This window comes from Homo sapiens, chromosome 20 (assembly GCF_000001405.40).
Source record: "Homo sapiens chromosome 20, GRCh38.p14 Primary Assembly".
NCBI classification, from domain to species: domain Eukaryota; kingdom Metazoa; phylum Chordata; class Mammalia; order Primates; family Hominidae; genus Homo; species Homo sapiens.
The window spans coordinates 36,435,963-36,453,954 of NC_000020.11; the positions used below are offsets into that span (position 1 = coordinate 36,435,963).

Below are 17,992 nucleotides of genomic sequence, written 5' to 3' on the forward strand. Positions count from 1 at the left end.
TGCCCCGAGGTTTCAAAGGCGGGAAACCCAGCACGTGAGCCCGAATTCTGCAGGGAACGAGGGAGCTTCAGGTCCCGGAGATGGGGGTTCTCGCCATCTGCTCATTTTCTGCGGTGGCCCCACTGAGTCCTGTGCCCCATCCCCAGGTGCCCGGCGGCGGCGGCGAGTGGAGCACCACGCTGCTGTCCCCACGCGAGACGGATGCCGCGGCCGAGGGCCCTATCCCGTGCCGGCGCATGCGCAGCGGCAGCTACATCAAGGCCATGGGCGACGAGGACAGCGACGAGTCCGGCGGCAGCCCCAAGCCCTCACCCAAGACCGCGGCGCGGCGCCAGAGCTATCTGAGGGCCACGCAGCAGTCGCTGGGAGAGCAGAGCAACCCCCGCAGGTAGGCGCGCAGCTCCACCCTTACGGTCCCGCCCAGAGGCAAGCCCCGCCCACTACGAGTCTTGCTCCCTGGGAGGAGCCCTGCATTAAAATAAGCCCCGCCTGCGTGGGAGCCACGCCCCCTTTGAGCCACGCCCACTCATGAGTCCTGCTTCTTGAGAGAACCCCTTCATTGAAATAAGGCCCGCCCGGCGCGGTGGCTCACGCCTGTAATCCCAGCACTTTGGGAGGTCGAGGCGGGTGGATCACTTGAGGTCAGGATTTCAAGACCAGAATAGCCAACATGGGGAAACCCCGTCTCTATTAAAAATACAAAAATTAGCTGGGTTGGCGGCAGGCGCCTGTAATCCCAGCTACTCGGGAGGCTGAGACAGGAGAATCGCTTGAACCCGGGAGGCGGAGATTGCAGTGAGCCGAGATCGCGCCACTGCACTCCAGCCTGGGCGACTGAGCGAGACTCCGTCTCAAAAAAAAAAAAAAGAAAGAAAGAAAAAGAAAAGCCCCGCCCGCGTGGAAGCCCCTCCCAGAGGCTTTTCTCCCCACTTCGGGTGAGTCCCGCCCACTTGTGAGCCCTCCAGGGGAAAACCTCTTTCAGTAAGTACAAGTCCCGCTCACCCGCAAGCCTCGTCCCCTAGGTGAACCCCTCTTAGTTCTGCCCCTACCCCAGGAGTCCCGCCTTCCTCCCATTCGGCTGTTCCCCCGGAGATCCCAGCCCACAGATGAATCCTGTCCCTCAGCTTCAGATCCAGGTGAACTCACTACTATAATGATCCAGGCCCCCTAAGTGAACCCGCCATCAGGTTAGCTCCCTCCATGAGATCCTCAGGTTGGCCCTGCACTCTGATGAATTGACCTCGAAGAGCCCGGCCAATTGGAGAACTACCCCTTGAGCCCCACCCACAGTTCAGCCCTGACCACAGGTGAGCTGCATCCTTTGGTAAACCCCGATCATGAAAGCCACACTCGGGTGATAGGTCCAGGTAAACCCCTCCCACAGGAGCCACATCCCCAGGTAAGTTCCACTCCCAGAGGGGAACTGTCCCACGGGATCTTGGTCTTCAGGTTAGGAGAACCTGCCCTGAGTGAGTGCATCACCTGTAACAGCACTGCCTAGGGAAGGCCAAAGCCCGCTCTACCCTTGCTCCTGTAACTGATCCCTGTGGGGAGTTCCGAGATGGGGGAGGGAGGTGAATCCAGAAGCCAAAGAGTGATAGACAGACTTTTCCTGTCCCAGTGCCTGCCTGGAATTCACCAGCCAAGCCCCATCGTGTTGCTGTAAGGCTTGGAGGAGTTAGAGGGAACAAGCTTCTCCCTAGATCTTCAACTAGGGGGGACAGGAGCCAAGGCTTCATGGAGGAGGTGGCCTGGGAAGACTGAGACAGAGGGAAGAGAACAGGTCAGGTGACACTGGTACCTAGGCAGGAAGAGGGCAGTGTTCTCAGAGCAGCCAGGAGTCTAGTTGACTGGGCAGAAGATAGAGAATGGCCTCCAGGTTGGAATTAAGGACACCACCAGACAATCCCAGGTCTGCCCTTTTCTGAACCTTAGTTTCTCCATCTTTTTTGTGGGGATGTGGGGAACAGGGTCTCGCTATGTCGCCCAGGTTGGAGTGCAATAGTGCAATCATGGTTCACTTGTCGACCTCCTGTGCTCAAGCAGTCCTCCCACCTCAGCATCCCGAGTAGCTGGGACTACCAGCATGGGCCACCATGCCCAGCTAATTTTTTTAAATAATTTTTTGTGACCAGGTGCAGTGGCTCACGCTTGTAATCCCTGCACTTTGGGAGGCCAAGGCAGGCAGATCATTTGAGGTCAGGAGTTTGACACCAGCCTGGTCAACATGGCGAAACCGCATCTCTACTAAAAGTATATAAATTAGCAGATTGTGGCGGTGCATGCCTATAATCCCAGCTACTAGGGAGGCTGAGGCATGAAAATCACTTGAACCCAGGAGGCAGAGGTTGCAGGGAGCTGAGATCGTGCCACTGCACTCCAGCCTGGGTGACAGAGTGAGACTGTCTCAAAAAAAAATATATATATATATATAATATATATGTATGTATATGTATATATTGCTCTCCCCTTGCTCATCAGCCCTCACACTGTCCAGGCTGGCAGTGACTTCCATTTTTCCCTCTGCCACTGGATGACCTTCGCCAGTCTTTTTCCCTCTGGGCCTCAGTTTCCCAATCTGAATAATATATACATATATATGTATATATTGTAAAGATGGGGCCTCACTATGTTGCCCAGAGTGGTGGTGAACTCCTCCGCTCAAGTGACCCTTCTGCTTTGGCCTCCCAAAGTGCTGGGATTATAGGTGTGAGCCACCACGCCTGGTCAGTTTCCCCATCTTTTTTTTTTTTTTTTTTTTTTTGAGACAGAGTCTTGCTCTGTCGCCCAGGCTGGAGTGCAGTGGCACAAACTTGGTTCACTGTAACCTCCACCTCCCGGGTTCAAGCAATTCTCCTGCCTCAGCCTCCCGAGTAGCTGAGCTGACCTCAGGTGAGCTGCCCGCCTCAGCCTCCCAAATTGCTGGGATTACAGGCGTGAGCCACCGCACCTGGCCTAGTTTCCCCATCTTTAAGTGAAGGGGCTGAGCTGGAGGATCTCTAAGACCCCTTCTAGTACGGAGATCCTACAATCCGAGTGACCAGTAGGCATTAAGGTGGGAGAGGCAGGAAGCCTGGGGCTTAAGCCTAGAATTCAAGGGAAGCAATAATAATAACAGTAGTAGTAGTAGCAATAATAGTAACAGCTGCCGTCTGTTAGCACTTGTCCGCTGGCCACTGTGCCTGACCTGATATCCTTTAATCTGCACCACTGAATCCTCACTGCAGCCCCAGCAGGCAGGTAGCATCATCCCCATTTTAGAGATGAGGAAACTGAGACTTAAGTAAGGGGTAATGACTTGCCCAGGGTCACCCAGCTGAGAAAGCTGGATTCCAATCCAAACCCTTCTGTATCAGGGGCCTAAGCTATTGGATGCTTGGATTTTATCCCCAGAATGAGGACTGGGGGATGCCCAGGATCAGGTAGATGTAAGAAAGATTGAAGGGCTGGGGCCGTGGAGATAAGGGGTGAGTCTAGGGGCCTGATAGAAGCCACTCGAACATCGCAGCAGAGCTGATGCCCTTTGGGAGCCCTAGGCTGTGGAACTTGACCCACCTCTGTCGGGCCTCTGGAAATGTCCCAGACTTTCAAGGAGGAAGGAAAGGGGCTGTAGAATTGGGCAGGGCCAGCCTCGGGTTTTAAACAGTCAAATACAAGCTGGTGCTGCCACCCTGCGGCTGCAGCGGGCATCACAGGTGTGGACCACCTGTGCATCACAGATGGTCAAGGCCTCCAAAAGCTGGGTGAACAATGGGTGGGCTGAGCCCTGTCTGCTCCCCACTCCCCACCAGGAGTCTGGACCGCCTGGATTCAGTGGACATGCTGCTGCCCTCCAAGTGTCCGAGCTGGGAAGAGGACTACACCCCCGTCAGCGACAGCCTCAACGACTCCAGCTGCATCAGCCAGGTGAGGGTGGCAGGGAGGCTGGAGAGTCAGGGGGCTTGGGTACTGATTCCCATCTGGGAGGAGGACACACGCCCAGGCCCAGCCCATGCTGAGTGGCCCCCAGATGTCTGCACTGTGCTTCTGTTTGGTCCTTGTTCCTGAAGCCTCCTGTGTGTGTCTCTGCCCCACCAACTGTCCTGTGGCTGGAGAGCACAGTTACGGGGCCTGACCCAGGACCCCACACCACCACTGTAAACACAGGCTGCCAGCGGGGCGCCTGTCACTTCTCATTGGGTTCAGAACCATGAGGATAAGGAACTGGAGACCTAGGTTCGAGTCCCAGTTTTGTCACTTGACAGTATGAACCCAGGATAGTCACCTCCCCTCCCTGAACCTCGGTTTCCTGATTTACCAGAGGAGGGTGAGCATTTCTATCTGGGGGCTGTTGAGAGGAATAAGTGGGATCGTGAAGGCGGTGTGCTCAGCAGAGGGTAGCTGCCTTCCTGGTTATTATTAGCATCTTTTGTGACCTCCAGCAAGTGACTGCTCACTTTGAACCTCTGTGCCACCTACTCAGTGGGCAGTTGTGCTCCCAGGCGCAGCCAGCCCTGCCTGTGTCAGTGAGGAGCATACTGGGCTGAACGTTGAATTTGCATGCCACCCTCTCAACCATCAGCTCCTTGAGCCCTTAACCACCCCCAGAGGTGGCCTTGTTATCCATATCCCCATTTCATAGGTGAGGCAACTGAGGCTCAGAGAGGTGAAGTCATCATGCAGCTAGGAGAAGACAAAGTTGGGCAGGGATCTGGGGCTGTCCAGCCCAGACCTGGACCTCAGCTCCTGCCGTGTACTCGGCACTTTAGGGTTTGCAAAGGGAGAACCAGGCAGGACTAAAAGGCACCCCCCATCGTGTGGATGGGGAGATGAGCCCCCCGAGAAGGCAGACACCTACTGGTAGTAGCAGTTAGGCAGTGGGGCGGCCAGGTGCGGGTCCAGCCTCCTCTCAGCAGGAACAGGCCACTGTGTGCAGGCCCAGGACCACGGCTAGAGGACTGCTTAGAAGGCTTTGGGACCCCGACTCCTCACAACTCCATTATTCCTGGCCTAGCCAAGCTCCTTCCCCAGCCCCTCAGACATGGGGAGGGGTAGAGTGCCGCAGCCCAGGGAGCCCCCTGCCCCTGCCCCCCTCATCCAGACTCCACCAAGTCACACCTGAACAGCCGTCCTCCAATCCATACTCAGTGGCCAGAGGGAGCTGTCAGAGCCACACCCCTGCTCCAGACCCTCCCTTGGCTCCCACCTCCCCCTGAGGGAAAGCCAGAGTCCTTACCTGGACCTGTGAAGCCCTGTAAGACCTAGGCCCTGCCTCCCTGTTGGATCCTGTCCCTTGCCCTGCTCCAGCCATGCCGGCCTCCTTTCTGCTCCTTATATACGAGTGTGCCATGTCATTCTGCTCCAGGCCCTCTGCATTTGCTGTTTCCTCTTCCAGGGGCTCTCTTCTCAAATCTTTGCACAGCTGGCTCCTCCTGGCGTTTCAGGTCTCTGCTCGAATGTCACTTCCTCAGAGAGGCTGCCTGTGATCACTTGTCTAAAGTAGCCTTCCCAGGCGCTGTTCCCTTACCCTGCTGTTCCCTTACCTTATCACTGCCTGGAACTAGAATCATTTGCTTATTTACTTAATGCTGTCTCCCTCTTAAAACTAGGATCTCCTGGGAGCGGAGGCCTTGCTGTCTTGTTCCCTGCAGTGTCCCCAGTACCTGGCACAGTGCCTGGCACAGGGCAGATGCTTAGTAGGTGTTTGCTGAATGGACGGCATCCCTCCCTGTCTCTCCCATCCCACCACGTTTTCTCGTCTCAGTCTTCCTGTCTGTGTCTGTCTCCGTCTGTTTCTCTCTCTCTGTTCTCTCTCCCCTCATTCACATTTTTCTCTGATTCTCTCCAGCGTGTCTCCATCTCCATGTCTCTCTCTGTGTCTGTCTGTCTCTCTACACATCCCATCTCCACCCCCGCCTGGGCCTGGCACCCAGGACACCTTTGTCCTTTAACTACACAAAAAGGCTTATTAATCGGCCAGGCTGGGGGCCGCAGCAGGTCTCACCCACCACCCGCTGCCCAGTCCCAGTTCTCTCCTAGTCCAGGATCCTCTGACCCCTCACAGCCTCAACTCTAGAAGTTTGAGTGACCCAAGCCATATATTTGGCCCCAAAGTCAGAGATATTCTAGCCTGGGGAAGAGCAGGCTCTGGGCTCCATCCCTAATCTGTATCTCCAGGTGGGCTGCCTGCCAGATGAGAGGCAGCAGACAGAGGATCCATGGTCCCAGGGCCCAGACCTAAAGAAGGACTTTTATTTATTTATTTATTTTGAGATGGAGTTTCGCTCTTGTTGCCCAGGCTGGAGTGCAATGGCGCGATCCCAGCTCACTGCAACCTCCGCCTCACGGGTTCAAGCAATTCTCCTGCCTCAGCCTCCCTAGTAGCTGGGATTATAGGCATGTGCCACCATGCCCGGCTAATTTTGTATTTTTAGTAGAGATGGGGTTTCTCCATATTGGTCAGGCTGGTCTCGAATTCCCAACCTCAAGTGATCCACCCGCCTCGACCTCCCAGAGTGCTGGGATTATAGGCATGAGCCACTGCGCCCAGCCAAGAAGGACTTTTAAATAGCAGATTATAAGTCCTCAGTAATGCCCAGCCCCAGAAGGAGTGAGCCTCCCATCCCTGGAAGAAGCCAAGTGAGACCTCCTAGCAGCTGTGTCCCAGCCAGTCTGGGGAGGAGGTTAGACCAGCCAGCTTCAAGTTTCCTTGCAATTGACCCTGAATCCCCCACCCCAGCCCCAGCCCTGGTCCTTCCATAACCCTCACCCTCTCTTTCCTGCAGATTTTTGGACAGGCCTCCCTGATCCCCCAGTTGTTTGGCCATGAGCAGCAGGTCAGTATGTTTGCCCTTCTCTTCCACCCCAATCCCAGAGTGTAGGCCTGGGCCTTAGGCCTGCCCTCTGAGTGGTCCCAGCACCCGGCCCAGGCTGGTACAAGCAGAGCCATCACCAGGAAAGCCACTTCCAGTGGATGGAGTTGAGGGTCACATTGGTGTCCTGACTCTCCACTCCCTACCCTTATTGCTTCACCTCTATGTGCTTCAGTTTCCTCCTTTTGAAAATGGGGAAGAATGAGCTAGGTGCTCTGGATGGGGCAAGAAACAACTCCAGGACTCCTGCCCTCCTCTCTCCTCCCAGAAAGCCTGGGTCAGGCCTGGGGAGACTGAGTTGGACAGGTCAGGGGCTGGGGGCTGATGATATTAGCTTCCAGGTCCCAGCCCCCAGATCCCTTGGCTTTTCTCCTTTCTGGAGCGCCAGGAGGACATTTAAAGATGTTGGGGTGTTGGAGTGTGTGTGGAGACTTTCCAACTTCACACAGGTTGGTGAGGTTGTGCTGCTCATGGCACTGTGGCTGCCCTGAGGGCACCACCTCCTAGACATTCCTATCCTGCCCCTGGAAGTGGCCCTCTCCTCCCTCCCAGGCCAAAGACCAAAAACCAGGGGCAGGAAAGGTACTCTGAGATCAACCCCACTTTGTAGCCAGGAGTGGGTAAGGGACTTGTGCAAGGTCACACATCCCACAGGGGCAAAACTAGGACCAGACCTCCAGCTCCTGATTCCAGCCGTGGATGCCCCATGTGTCCCTCTCCCCCATGTCACAGAAGCTGTGTGTTCCTCCTGAACACATGATTCAAGAAGTTATTTAAAGAGCCCACAGTGGGCCAAGCGACCTCTTCCTCATCCACCTTTAATAGGCGAGTGGTAAGGATGTGATGCGTTAACATACAAAGCCCCCAGGACAGTGCCCCCTACACAGTAAATCCTCAGTGATACACATACCAGCAGCGCTGACCAGCTGGCCTCCCCACCGACAGCTCAAGAGCATCTTAACCAACACTGACAGACTCCACAGTGCTACCTGTATTCGTGGGTAGAGGTTACTAGGTGCATACTCTCTTGGACTCTATCCTAAGCCTGTGATATGAATTCTCTCATTTCATCTTGACCACAACCCTGAAATGGGGACTATTGCCCCATTTTATAGGTGGGGAAACTGAGGCACAAAGCAATTAAGTGACTTGCCCACGTTCACATTGTGAGGAAACGATGGGCCAAGGGTTGGACCCCTGGCAGTCTAGTTCCAGAGCCATGTGGTTCCTGTGTGATCCCAAAGCAAGACCCCATGCCCCCGGCAGTCACAAGGGTCTCTTCATAACTTCAGGCTGCAGTTTTGGAGGAGAAACACCTATCTCTTTAACACTCCTTCTGAGTGAATTTTGGATATGCCACATGGCCTATATTTTAATTTATCAGTACTGTACAGTAGAACTTTCTGTAATGATGGAAATGTTCTATAATTCACACTGCCCAATGAGATAGCCACTAGCTATATGTGACTTTATTTATTTACTTATTTTTGAGATAGGGTCTCACTCTGTCACCCAGGCTGAGTGCAGTGGTGCGATCATGGCTCACTGCAGCCTCAACCTCCCAGGCTCAGGTGATCCTCCCACCTCAACCTCCCGAGTAGCTGGGACTACAGGCACGCACCACCATGCCTGGCTAGTTTTTATTAGAGACAGGGTCTCGCTGTGTTGCCCAGGCTGGTCTCAAACTCCCGAACACAAGTGATCCTCCCACATCAGCCCCCTCAAAGTGCTGGGATTACAGGCGTGAGCCACTGTGCCTGGCTTACCTGTGGTCTTGAGCAAGTCAAATGTGGCTCCTGTGACTATGGAACTTTATTTAATTTTAATCAAAAAAAATTTTTTTTTGAGATGGAGTCTCGTTTTATCACCCAGGTTGGAGTGCAGTTGCCCAGTCTTGGCTCACTGCAACCTCCTCCTCCAGGGTTCAAGTGATTCTCCTGCTTCAGCCTCCCAAGTAGCTGGCACCACAGGCATGTGCCACCACGCTCGGCCAATTTTGGGATTTTAGTAGAGACAGGATTTCTCCATGTTGGCCAGGCTGGTCTTGAACTCCTGACCTCAAGTGATCTACCCACCTTGGCGTCCCAAAGTGCTGGGATTACAGGCATGAGCCACCACGCCTGGACTAATCAATTATTATTATTATTTTTTAATTTTTTTAGAGACAGGATCTTGCTTTGTCCCCCAGGCTGGAGTGCAGTGTCACAATCATAGTTCACTGCAGCCTCCAACTCCTGGGCTCAAGTTACTGGGACTTGAGGTGCATGCTACCACTCCTGGCTAATTTTTGTATTTTTAATTTCTTTTGTAGAGCTGGGGTCCCACTATGTTGCCCAGGCTGAATTTTAATTAATTTAAACCCAAATAGCCATACATGGCTCATGGCTGCCATACTGAAATGCACAGATTTGGCCAGGCGCAGTGGCTCATGCCTGTAATCCCAGCACTTTGGGAGGCCGAGGCGGGCAGATCACGAGGTCAGGAGTTTGAGACCAGCCTAGCCAATATGGTGAAACCCCGTCTCTACTAAAAATACAAAAATTAGCCGGGCATGGTGGCACCTGCCTATAGTCCCAGCTACTCAGGAGGCTGAGGCAGAAGAATTGCTTGAACCCGGGAGGCGGAGGTTGCAGTGAGCCGAGATCGCGCCACTGCACTTCAGCCTGGGAGACAAAGCGAGATTCCATCTCAAAAAAATTAAAAAAGCACAGATTTAGACCTTTCCATCCACCCTCCAAATTGGGTGAACACCCATCTAGTTGTTTGACCTGATGCAGTCTCAGATGAGAATGCGAGCACCTATTTCATGTAGATGAGGAGAAACTGACCCAGAGAAGATAGTGATGGCCTGAGGTTACACAGCTGGGTGGGACACAGCTGGCCCCAGGCCCAGATCAACCTTTTCCTCCACATGGTCAGTCAGCTTGTGCCCCCTCCCGCTGTGGCCCAGGCCAGCCCCCAAGATGTCCACATCTTTGGCCAACTGACCCCCCAGCTTATCCTCTGTGGTCTTCAGTTACCAACATGGCCTGAGACATGGGTCAGATAGCCCTTCCAGAACCCTCAAAGAGTATGTGCATGGTGAGGCCCCTCAATGCTCATACCCTTGGCTTCAGATTTTCAGGGTCCTAGACAGTCATTTCTGGAGAAATACTTAGGACCCATCTACACAAAGTTGAACTAGATGCAAGATAGCAGATAGCATACACATCACCATTTTCCATACTGTCCATGGCAGACATCATTAATCAATCCTCACTGCAACTACCCTCACTCCAGTTTTTTGCTTCAGCTTCGTCTCTGGCCTCTGCCTCCATTCCAGACCCCTTTCCCAACATCCATTCTGTATAAGAGGGCTAGATTAATCTTCCTTAAATACATATTTGGAGTGTTGGTTCTGCCACTTCCTCACTGGGTACCCATGGCAAGTGTCTTCCCCTCACTGACCCTTGGTTTCTTTCCTTGTAAAATAAAGGGATTGGACCATAGGATGGTAAATATCCAGCTACCTACCGCCACCCCCATTCCAACATTCAGGACAGACATTGCTAATTGATTATAGACCTCTTTCACACTAAATTCAGATGTGACCTTGAAATCTATTAATCAGTGTGGACCCTGATTTTTATCACAGTTAATATCCTGAGATATTCCAACTTTGTCCTCATTATAGAGATGGGAAAATTGAGGCCCAGAGAGGTAGGACTGTTTCTTTCTTAAGGGCTCCATCTCCCCATCCCATACGCTGAGTGAGATGGACAGGGGTGGGCTGAGGTCAGACCCCACAGACTGTCCAGCCCTGCCCTGAGCCCACCACCAAGAACCGCTCCCCCCAGGATGGGCAAGATAGCCAGCTCCCTCATGCCTGCCTTTGCCTGGACAGGTACGGGAGGCAGAGCTGAGTGACCAGTATGAGGCGGCCTGCGAGTCAGCCTGCAGTGAAGCGGAGTCCACAGCGGCAGAGACGCTTGACTTGCCACTGCCCAGCTACTTCCGCTCCCGCAGCCACAGCTACCTGCGTGCCATCCAGGCAGGCTGCTCGCAGGAGGAGGACAGTGTCTCCCTGCAGTCCCTCTCCCCACCGCCCAGTACCGGCAGCCTCAGCAATAGTCGCACGCTTCCGAGTGAGTACTGTGATGAGGGAAGGGGTTTTTTTTCTTTTCAAGGGGACCCCAAGGACCATACCTGGAGGGCCAGCCTGGGAGGATACAGGGAGGAATCTGTCTCAGGCTGGCCCGCACCAGGGGGATGGTTGGGAGCAAAAGCAGGAGGCCTTGGAGCTGAACTTCCAGCCAATTGGCCACTGGAGCTCAAATGGGGGTCCCAGAGGCAGATGCCACCCCTGGGGGGCATGGGAGGTATTGGAGGGGCTGGAGCTTGTAGGGTACTTGGTTGCTCCTTGGCTCAGAGCAGCCACCTGCTATAGTCAGGGCTTACTGCAGCTTGACCTGCCTCTTGGAATTAGTTCAGGTAGGCAAACCTGTAGGGCAGGTTGGAACCTGCAGAGAAGCCTGCAGTGAGGGTGGGGTCTGCACTGAGCCTTCTCAAAGGGATGTGTTTTACAGGCTTCTCTCATATACACAATCAGGGAATACCTTCTGGATTCTTGGGTGTTTTGTTGTTGTTGAGACAGAGTCTCACTCCACACCCAGGCTGGACTGCAGTGGCATGATCTTGGCTAACTGCAACCTCTGCCTCCCAGGTTCAAGCAATTCTCATTCTTCAGCCTCCCAAGTAGCTGGAATTACAGACACATGCCACCATGCCTGGCTAATTTTTGTATTTTTAGTAGAGATGGGATTTCACCATGTTGGCCAGGCTGGTCGTGAACTTCTGACCTCAAGGGATCTGCTCATCGTGGCCTCCCAAAGTGCTGGGATTATAGGCGTGAGCTACCATGCCCAGCCCTGGATTCTTGTTCTAAATCATCTGAAGATAACCCATATGTGATCAGAGAAAAAAGGGGACCCTGTATAACTGAGCAAGCCATGAAATAATAGAAAATTGCATGTTCTCACTCATAAGTGGGAGGTAAACAATGAGGACACAGGGAGGGGAACATCACACACCAGGGCCTATCAGGGGGGTGGGGGGGGGGGAGACAAGGGGAGGGAGAGCATTAGGACAAATATCTAATGCATGTGGGGTTTAAAACCTAGATGATGGGTTGATAAGTGCAGCAAACCACCGTGGCGCATGTATACCTTATTAAGTATTATTAAGATGGTCAAAAAAAAAAAAAAAGACGTAATAGAAAATTAGCTGGGTGCAGTGGCTCACGCCTATAATCCCAACACTTTGGGGGGCCGAGGCAGATCACTTGAGCCTAGGAGTTGGAGACCAGCCTGGGCAACATGATGAAACCCGGACTCTAAAAAAATTAAAAATTCGCTGGTCGGGTTGGCATATACCTGTGGTCCTCGCTACTCAGGAGGCTGAAGCAGGAGGGACATCTGAGCCCAGGAGATGAAAGGTGAAGTGAGCTGTGTTCACACCACTGCACTTCAGCCTAGGAGACAGACCAAGACCTTGTCTCAAAATAATAATAATAGAAAATCAAAACCAAGGAAAAACAGCACAATTTATTGTTTATCAATAGTAGAGAGAGGTTTGAGCTTACTCTGGCAAGCTAGTTCGCCTTCCTGAGCCTCAGTTTCTCCATGTATAAATTGAGGGCATAAGCCAGACTCCAGGGATCTCTTAGGGAGATGAAACAAGACTGTGCATAGGACATGTTTAGGCAGGGACTTTCTTGTGGTAGAAGCTTGGTAAGTGGTAGCTGTTATTGTTGGTTCTCAGACCTGACTCTGAGCTTCCTGAAAATCAAAAACAATTGGGGGCTGGGCATGGTGGCTCATGCCTGTAATCCCAGCACTTTGTGAAGCCAAGGTGGGCAGATCACTTGAGGTCAGGAGTTCGAGACCAGCCTGGCCAACATGGTGAAACCCCATCTGTACTAAACATACAAAAATTACCCGGGTGTGGTGGTGCACACCTGTAGTTCTAGCTACTTGGGAGGCTGAGGTATGAGAATTGCTTGAACCCGGGAGGTAGAGGTTGCAATGAGCCAAGATTGAGCCACTGCGCTCCAGCCTGGGTGACAGAGCAAGACCTTGTCTCAAAGAAAAAAAAAAGCAATTGGGGTTGGATTGTTGTAGGAAGAGAGGCACTGCTTCAAGTGCTCAACCGGTGTTTGATGTAAATAAATGTCTTCTCTGTTCCTTGTTCACCTCTGTTTCTGGTTCCTCCACTTGGGAAGGGATGGTAGCCAGGGAGGTGTCGTCTGGCATCGGGACTCTCTGATGCCACATACTGGCTCTTTCTCGCACCCTGCAGGGTCCCCAGTGCCATCTTTCCCAGCATGGGCAATCTTCATTCACCTCACTGTTTCTTATTCCCCCTCAGCTTCTCCATCTGGCAGTCTGCCTCCTCGCCACTCAGCTTCTTTCTGCTAGGGCACCTGGCCCTGCTAGTCAGGCATCTTGGGTAGAATCCTCTGAAGACAACTCCAGCCCTATTTTCCCTCTTGGTGACCACTTAATGTATTTGAAAACAAGGGCCTTTGCCTTCTGGGACTCTGAAAATATAGACTGGTCTGCTACAGCCTCCGAAAATACAGACTGGCCCGCTACAGCCTTCCTTCTAGTCCTGCTGTTACCGGTAGCCCTGCCAGCCTCTCCACCTTCAAGGTCTCCAAACAAGAGCTGAGGCCCAGGTTCTGTGGCCTCCACATCCAGAAGAGCTCTCCCAGGCTGTCCCAGGCACTCTGCTACAGTTCCAAAGGGGCCGTGGGTGAAGGATAACATCCCCCACATCCTCACACCCATGCGAAGTTCTCTAAGCATGAAGTGGGCCTGGAGGGATAGACAGCACCCCTAGCAATTCTCTTCAAATAAACCATCCCTCACCAGTTTTTCCAACCCCAGTCACTCATGAATGGACTAAAGATAGGGGATGGGCTACATGTCCCAATACTGCCTGGGTCCCTGTATTGGTCAGCTCTTGCTACAATTATGCTGCATAACAAACAACCACAAAATCAGTGTAATACAACAATTCACATTTATTTCTTGCTCCCAAGTTTGTCAGTTGGGACAGTTCTGCTCCACATGTCTTTCATCCTCCTCCTGGGACCAAAGAGTCCTCCTGGGATCAGTGGTCTAGCCAGGGCATGTTCTCCTTATGGTGATGGCAGAAGACAGAAGAGCAAGCCTAACTAACCAAACAAGCACATTTCAAGGCCTCTGCTCATGTCATACCTGCTAACATCCTATTGGCAACACAAGTCATATGACTGAGCTCATAGACAAGGGATGGAGAAGTATCTTCTCACCTTTGTGTAGGAAACTATATTCATATGGCAAAGGGTGTGGCCACAGGGAGAGGTAAAGAATCAGGGTCTGGGTGGGCGCAGTGGCTCATGCCTGTAATCCCAGCACTTTGGGAGGCCGAGGCAGGTGGATCACTTGAGGCCAGGAGTTTGAGACCAGCCTGGCCAACATGGCGAAACCCTGTCTCTACTAAAAATACAAAAATTAGCCAGGCGTGGTGGTGCCCACCTGTAATTCCAGCTACTCAGGAGGCTGAGGCAGGAGAATCGCTTAAGCCCGGGAGGTGGAGGTTGCAGTGAGCCAACATCACACTATTGCACTCCAGCCTGGGCAACAAAAGTGAGACTCCGTCTCAAAAAAAAAAGAATCAGGGTCAACAATTCTATGTTCCATGATCCACTGTCTTGGCTGTATTTACTCATGCCCTTCCCAGGTAGAAAACTTTTATTCCCAAGACCCCCAAAAGTCTCATCCAATCATGAGATTGGATCAGACTCTTATGATCTATGTCAGGTCTGGATGTGGCTTCTGTCGAACAATTGACTTTTAATTTTTTAAAGAAACTACTTATCTACCCTACAGTCTAACCCTCCCCAACCACACAGCATACACTGGTGAAACAGGGACAGGAGAACTGCAGTTAATACTCCTGTTCAGAAAAGGGGAAAGTAGAGATGCAGAGACTTATTGATCCATGGCAATTCTGAAGTCCTTCTGAGCAACTGTTGGGCAAATGCGTTGAGATTTGTTGATTAGGTACAAGTTCTCCCTGGGGTTGATCTTCTAGTCTACTGTTCTCCACAGCTCTTGGTTCTGCTCTCTGAAAGCCCTTCCTTCTCCATCAGCATTTTTGGCCACTTTTAAAGAGAACTTGGAGAATATAGCCTTGGGGAACGGAACACCTTTCTTAGCTTGCTTCCTTCCTAAAGAAAGTTAGGGAGCTAGATGTCTTTTGCATCTTGAACGGTCTTACTCCCTTTAGCCTAAGCTGGTCAATTTTACCCATGCACCTACCTCAAACATTTGATGAGTTTTCTATGTATTTGATTCCCTGTAACTTCGAGTGCCAAAAGCCATACCCATAATTGTTTTTGAGTCATGCCTCTCTCTTGACTTGATGCCTACTTTGGGCTTCTGTGGGACCATGCCCTTAAGCTTTCTGTAGGCCCTTTTGACCAGATAGTAGCATCTGCTACCTGGTATCTTGATTGATTGATTGATTGAGACAGAGTCTCGCTCTCTGTCGCCCAGGCTGGAGTGCAGTGGCGCGATCTCAGCTCACTGCAACATCTACCTCCCAGGTTCAAGCGATTCTCATGCCTCAGCCTCCCAAGTAGCTGGGAATACAGGCGTGTGCCACCATGCCTGGCTAATTTTTGTATTTTTAGTAGAGACAAGGTTTCACCATGTTGGCCAGGCTAGTGTCGAACTCCTGACCTCAAGTGATCCACCCGCCTCGGCCTCACAAAGTGCTGGGATTACAGGTGTGAGCCACCACGCCTGGCTCTACTATTTTTAGAGTGTTAATAAGAGATATTATAACCACACTTTGATTTGATCCTGTCCACATACGGCATCTTAACTGGCCATGACCTTGGTTTCATCTTTGCCCTGAGGCTGTATTTTTTTTTTTTTTTTTGAGTTTCGCTCTTGTTGCCCAGGCTGGAGTGCAATGGCGTGATCTCAGTTCATCTCAACCTCCGCCTCCTGGATTCAAGTGATTCTCCTGCCTCAGCCTCCCAAGTAGCTGGGATTACAGGTATGCACCACCATGCCCAGCTAGTTTTGTATTTTTAGTAGAGACAGGGTTTCTCCCTGTAGGTCAGGTTGGTCTCAAACTCCTGACCTCAGGTGATCTGCCTGCCTTGGCCTCCCAAAGTGCTGGAATTACAGGCATGAGCCACCATGCCTAACGAGGCTGTATCTTAATTTGAGAATGGTTTACTCTCTGGAGGGGCTGGAGTTGACAAATTTATTTTCCAACTAAACAAGTTCTGGTCTCCTTCCCTTTCCTCTAAACGCTCCTTGAAGATCGGCTATTTTTTACTTTTTTAGACAGGATCTCCATGTGTCACCCAGGCATGGGTGCAGTGGCATGGTCATAGCTCACCATAGCCTCAACCTCCCAGGCTCAAGCGATCCTCCTGCCTCAGCCTCCCGAGTAGCTGAGACCAGAGTCATGCAGTACCATGCCTGGCTAATTTTTAAATTTCTTGTAGAGATGGGGTCTCCTTATGTTCTACCAGGCTGGTTTTGAACTCCTGGGCTCAAGTGATCCTCCCACCTTGGCCTTCTAAAGTACTGGGATTACAGGTGTGAGCCACGGCACTTGGCCTAGCTATTTCTTTTGAGTTCCTCCTTTTCTTGTAAATCTTTTTTTTTTTTTTTTTAGACAGAGTCTTGCTCTGTTGTCCAGGCTGAAGTGCAGGATCTCAACTCACTGCAATCTCCACTTCCTGAGTTCAAGCCATTCTCCTGCCTTAGCCTCCCAGGTAGATGGGATTACAGGCATATGCCACCACACCCAGCTAACTTTCAAATTTTTAGTAAAGGTGGGGTTTCATCATGTTCGCTACGCTGGTCTTGAACGTCTGACCTCAAGTGATCTGCCCGCCTCGGCCTCCCAAAGTGTTGGGATTACAGGCGTGAGCCACTGCGCTTGGCCTTTTTCTTGTGTAAGTCTTTTTTTTTTTTTTTTTTTTTTTTGAGACAGAGTCTCCCTCTATCACTCAGGCTGGAGTGCAATGGCATGATCTCGGCTCACTGCAACCTCTGCCTCCCAGGTTCAAGCCATTCTCCTGCCTCAGCCTCCCAAGTATCTGGGACTGCAGGCATGCGCCACCATGCCTGGCTAATTTTTGTATTTTTAGTAGAGACGGGGTTTCACCATGTTGGCCAGGCTGGTCTCAAACTCCTGACCTCAAGTGATATGCCTGCCCTGGCCTCCCAAAGTGCTGGGATTACAGGCGTGAGTCACCACGCCTGGCCCCTTTGTCTTGTAAGTCCTTAACAAATGCAGCCAAAAGGAGCAAGCTCAGGCCGGGTACAGTGCTGAGCACGGTGCTATAATCCCAGCACCGTAGGGAGGATCTCTTGAGGCCAGAAGTTCAAGACCAGCCTCAGCAACATAGTGAGACTCCATCTCTACAAAAAATTTTTTTTTAGTTAGCCACTGCACTTCAGCCTGTGTGACAGAGCAAAACCCTGTCTAAAAAGAAACAGAGGCTGGGTGCAGTGGCTCATACCTATAATCCCAATGCTTTGGGAGACCAAGGTGGGAGGATCACTTGAGCCCAGGAGTTCAAGATCAGCCTGGGCAACATAGTGAGAACCTGTCTCTACAAAATAAAAAAAATTAGCTGTGCATGGTGGTCACAGCTACTTGGGAGGCTGAGGTGGGATTTGCTTAAGCCTGGGAGGTCGTGCTGCAGTGAGCCATGATCATGCCACTGTACTCCAGCCTGGGTAACAGAATGAGACTCTGTCTTTAAAAAAAAGAAAAAAGAGGCTGGGCACGGTGGGTCACACCTGTAATCCCAACACTTTGGGAAGCTGAGGTGGGTGGATCACCTGAGGTCAGGAGTTCGAGACCAGCCTGGCCAACATGGTGAAACCCTGTCTCTGCTAAAAATACAAAAATTAGCTGGGCATGGTAGCGGGCACCTATAATCCCAGCTACTCTGGAGGCTGAGGCAGAAGAATCGCTTGAACCCAGGAGGCGGAGGTTGCAGTGAGCCGGGATCGTGCCATTGCACTCCAGACTGGGCGAAAAGAGTGAGACTCTGTCTCCAAAAAAAAAAAAAAAAAAAA

The 17,992-nt window shown here is 51.8% G+C and overlaps 1 protein-coding gene across 5 annotated transcripts in view, besides 1 other annotated feature; it reads left to right on the forward strand.

Annotated features, from left to right (window-relative positions):
* DLGAP4 (DLG associated protein 4) overlaps positions 1-17,992 on the forward strand; it is a 222,295-nt gene that overhangs the window by 129,624 nt on the left and 74,679 nt on the right. For all 5 annotated transcript variants that reach the window (NM_014902.6, NM_001365621.2, XM_011528689.3 and 2 more), the window contains exons 4-7: positions 147-388; positions 3,792-3,906; positions 6,765-6,815; positions 10,735-10,975. In NM_014902.6, the coding sequence (NP_055717.2) occupies positions 147-388; positions 3,792-3,906; positions 6,765-6,815; positions 10,735-10,975 (649 nt within the window). The remainder of the gene's footprint in view (positions 1-146; positions 389-3,791; positions 3,907-6,764; positions 6,816-10,734; positions 10,976-17,992) is intronic.
* Positions 5,513-5,710: a silencer, noted in NCBI's record as "fragment chr20:35069878-35070075 (GRCh37/hg19 assembly coordinates)". NCBI's record gives its function as "represses an EF-1alpha promoter that drives an FKBP-Casp9 reporter gene in an ReSE screen in phorbol 12-myristate 13-acetate-treated (for megakaryocytic differentiation) K562 erythroleukemia cells {active_cell/tissue: K562(+PMA)}" and the evidence as "EXISTENCE:reporter gene assay evidence [ECO:0000049][PMID:32094911]".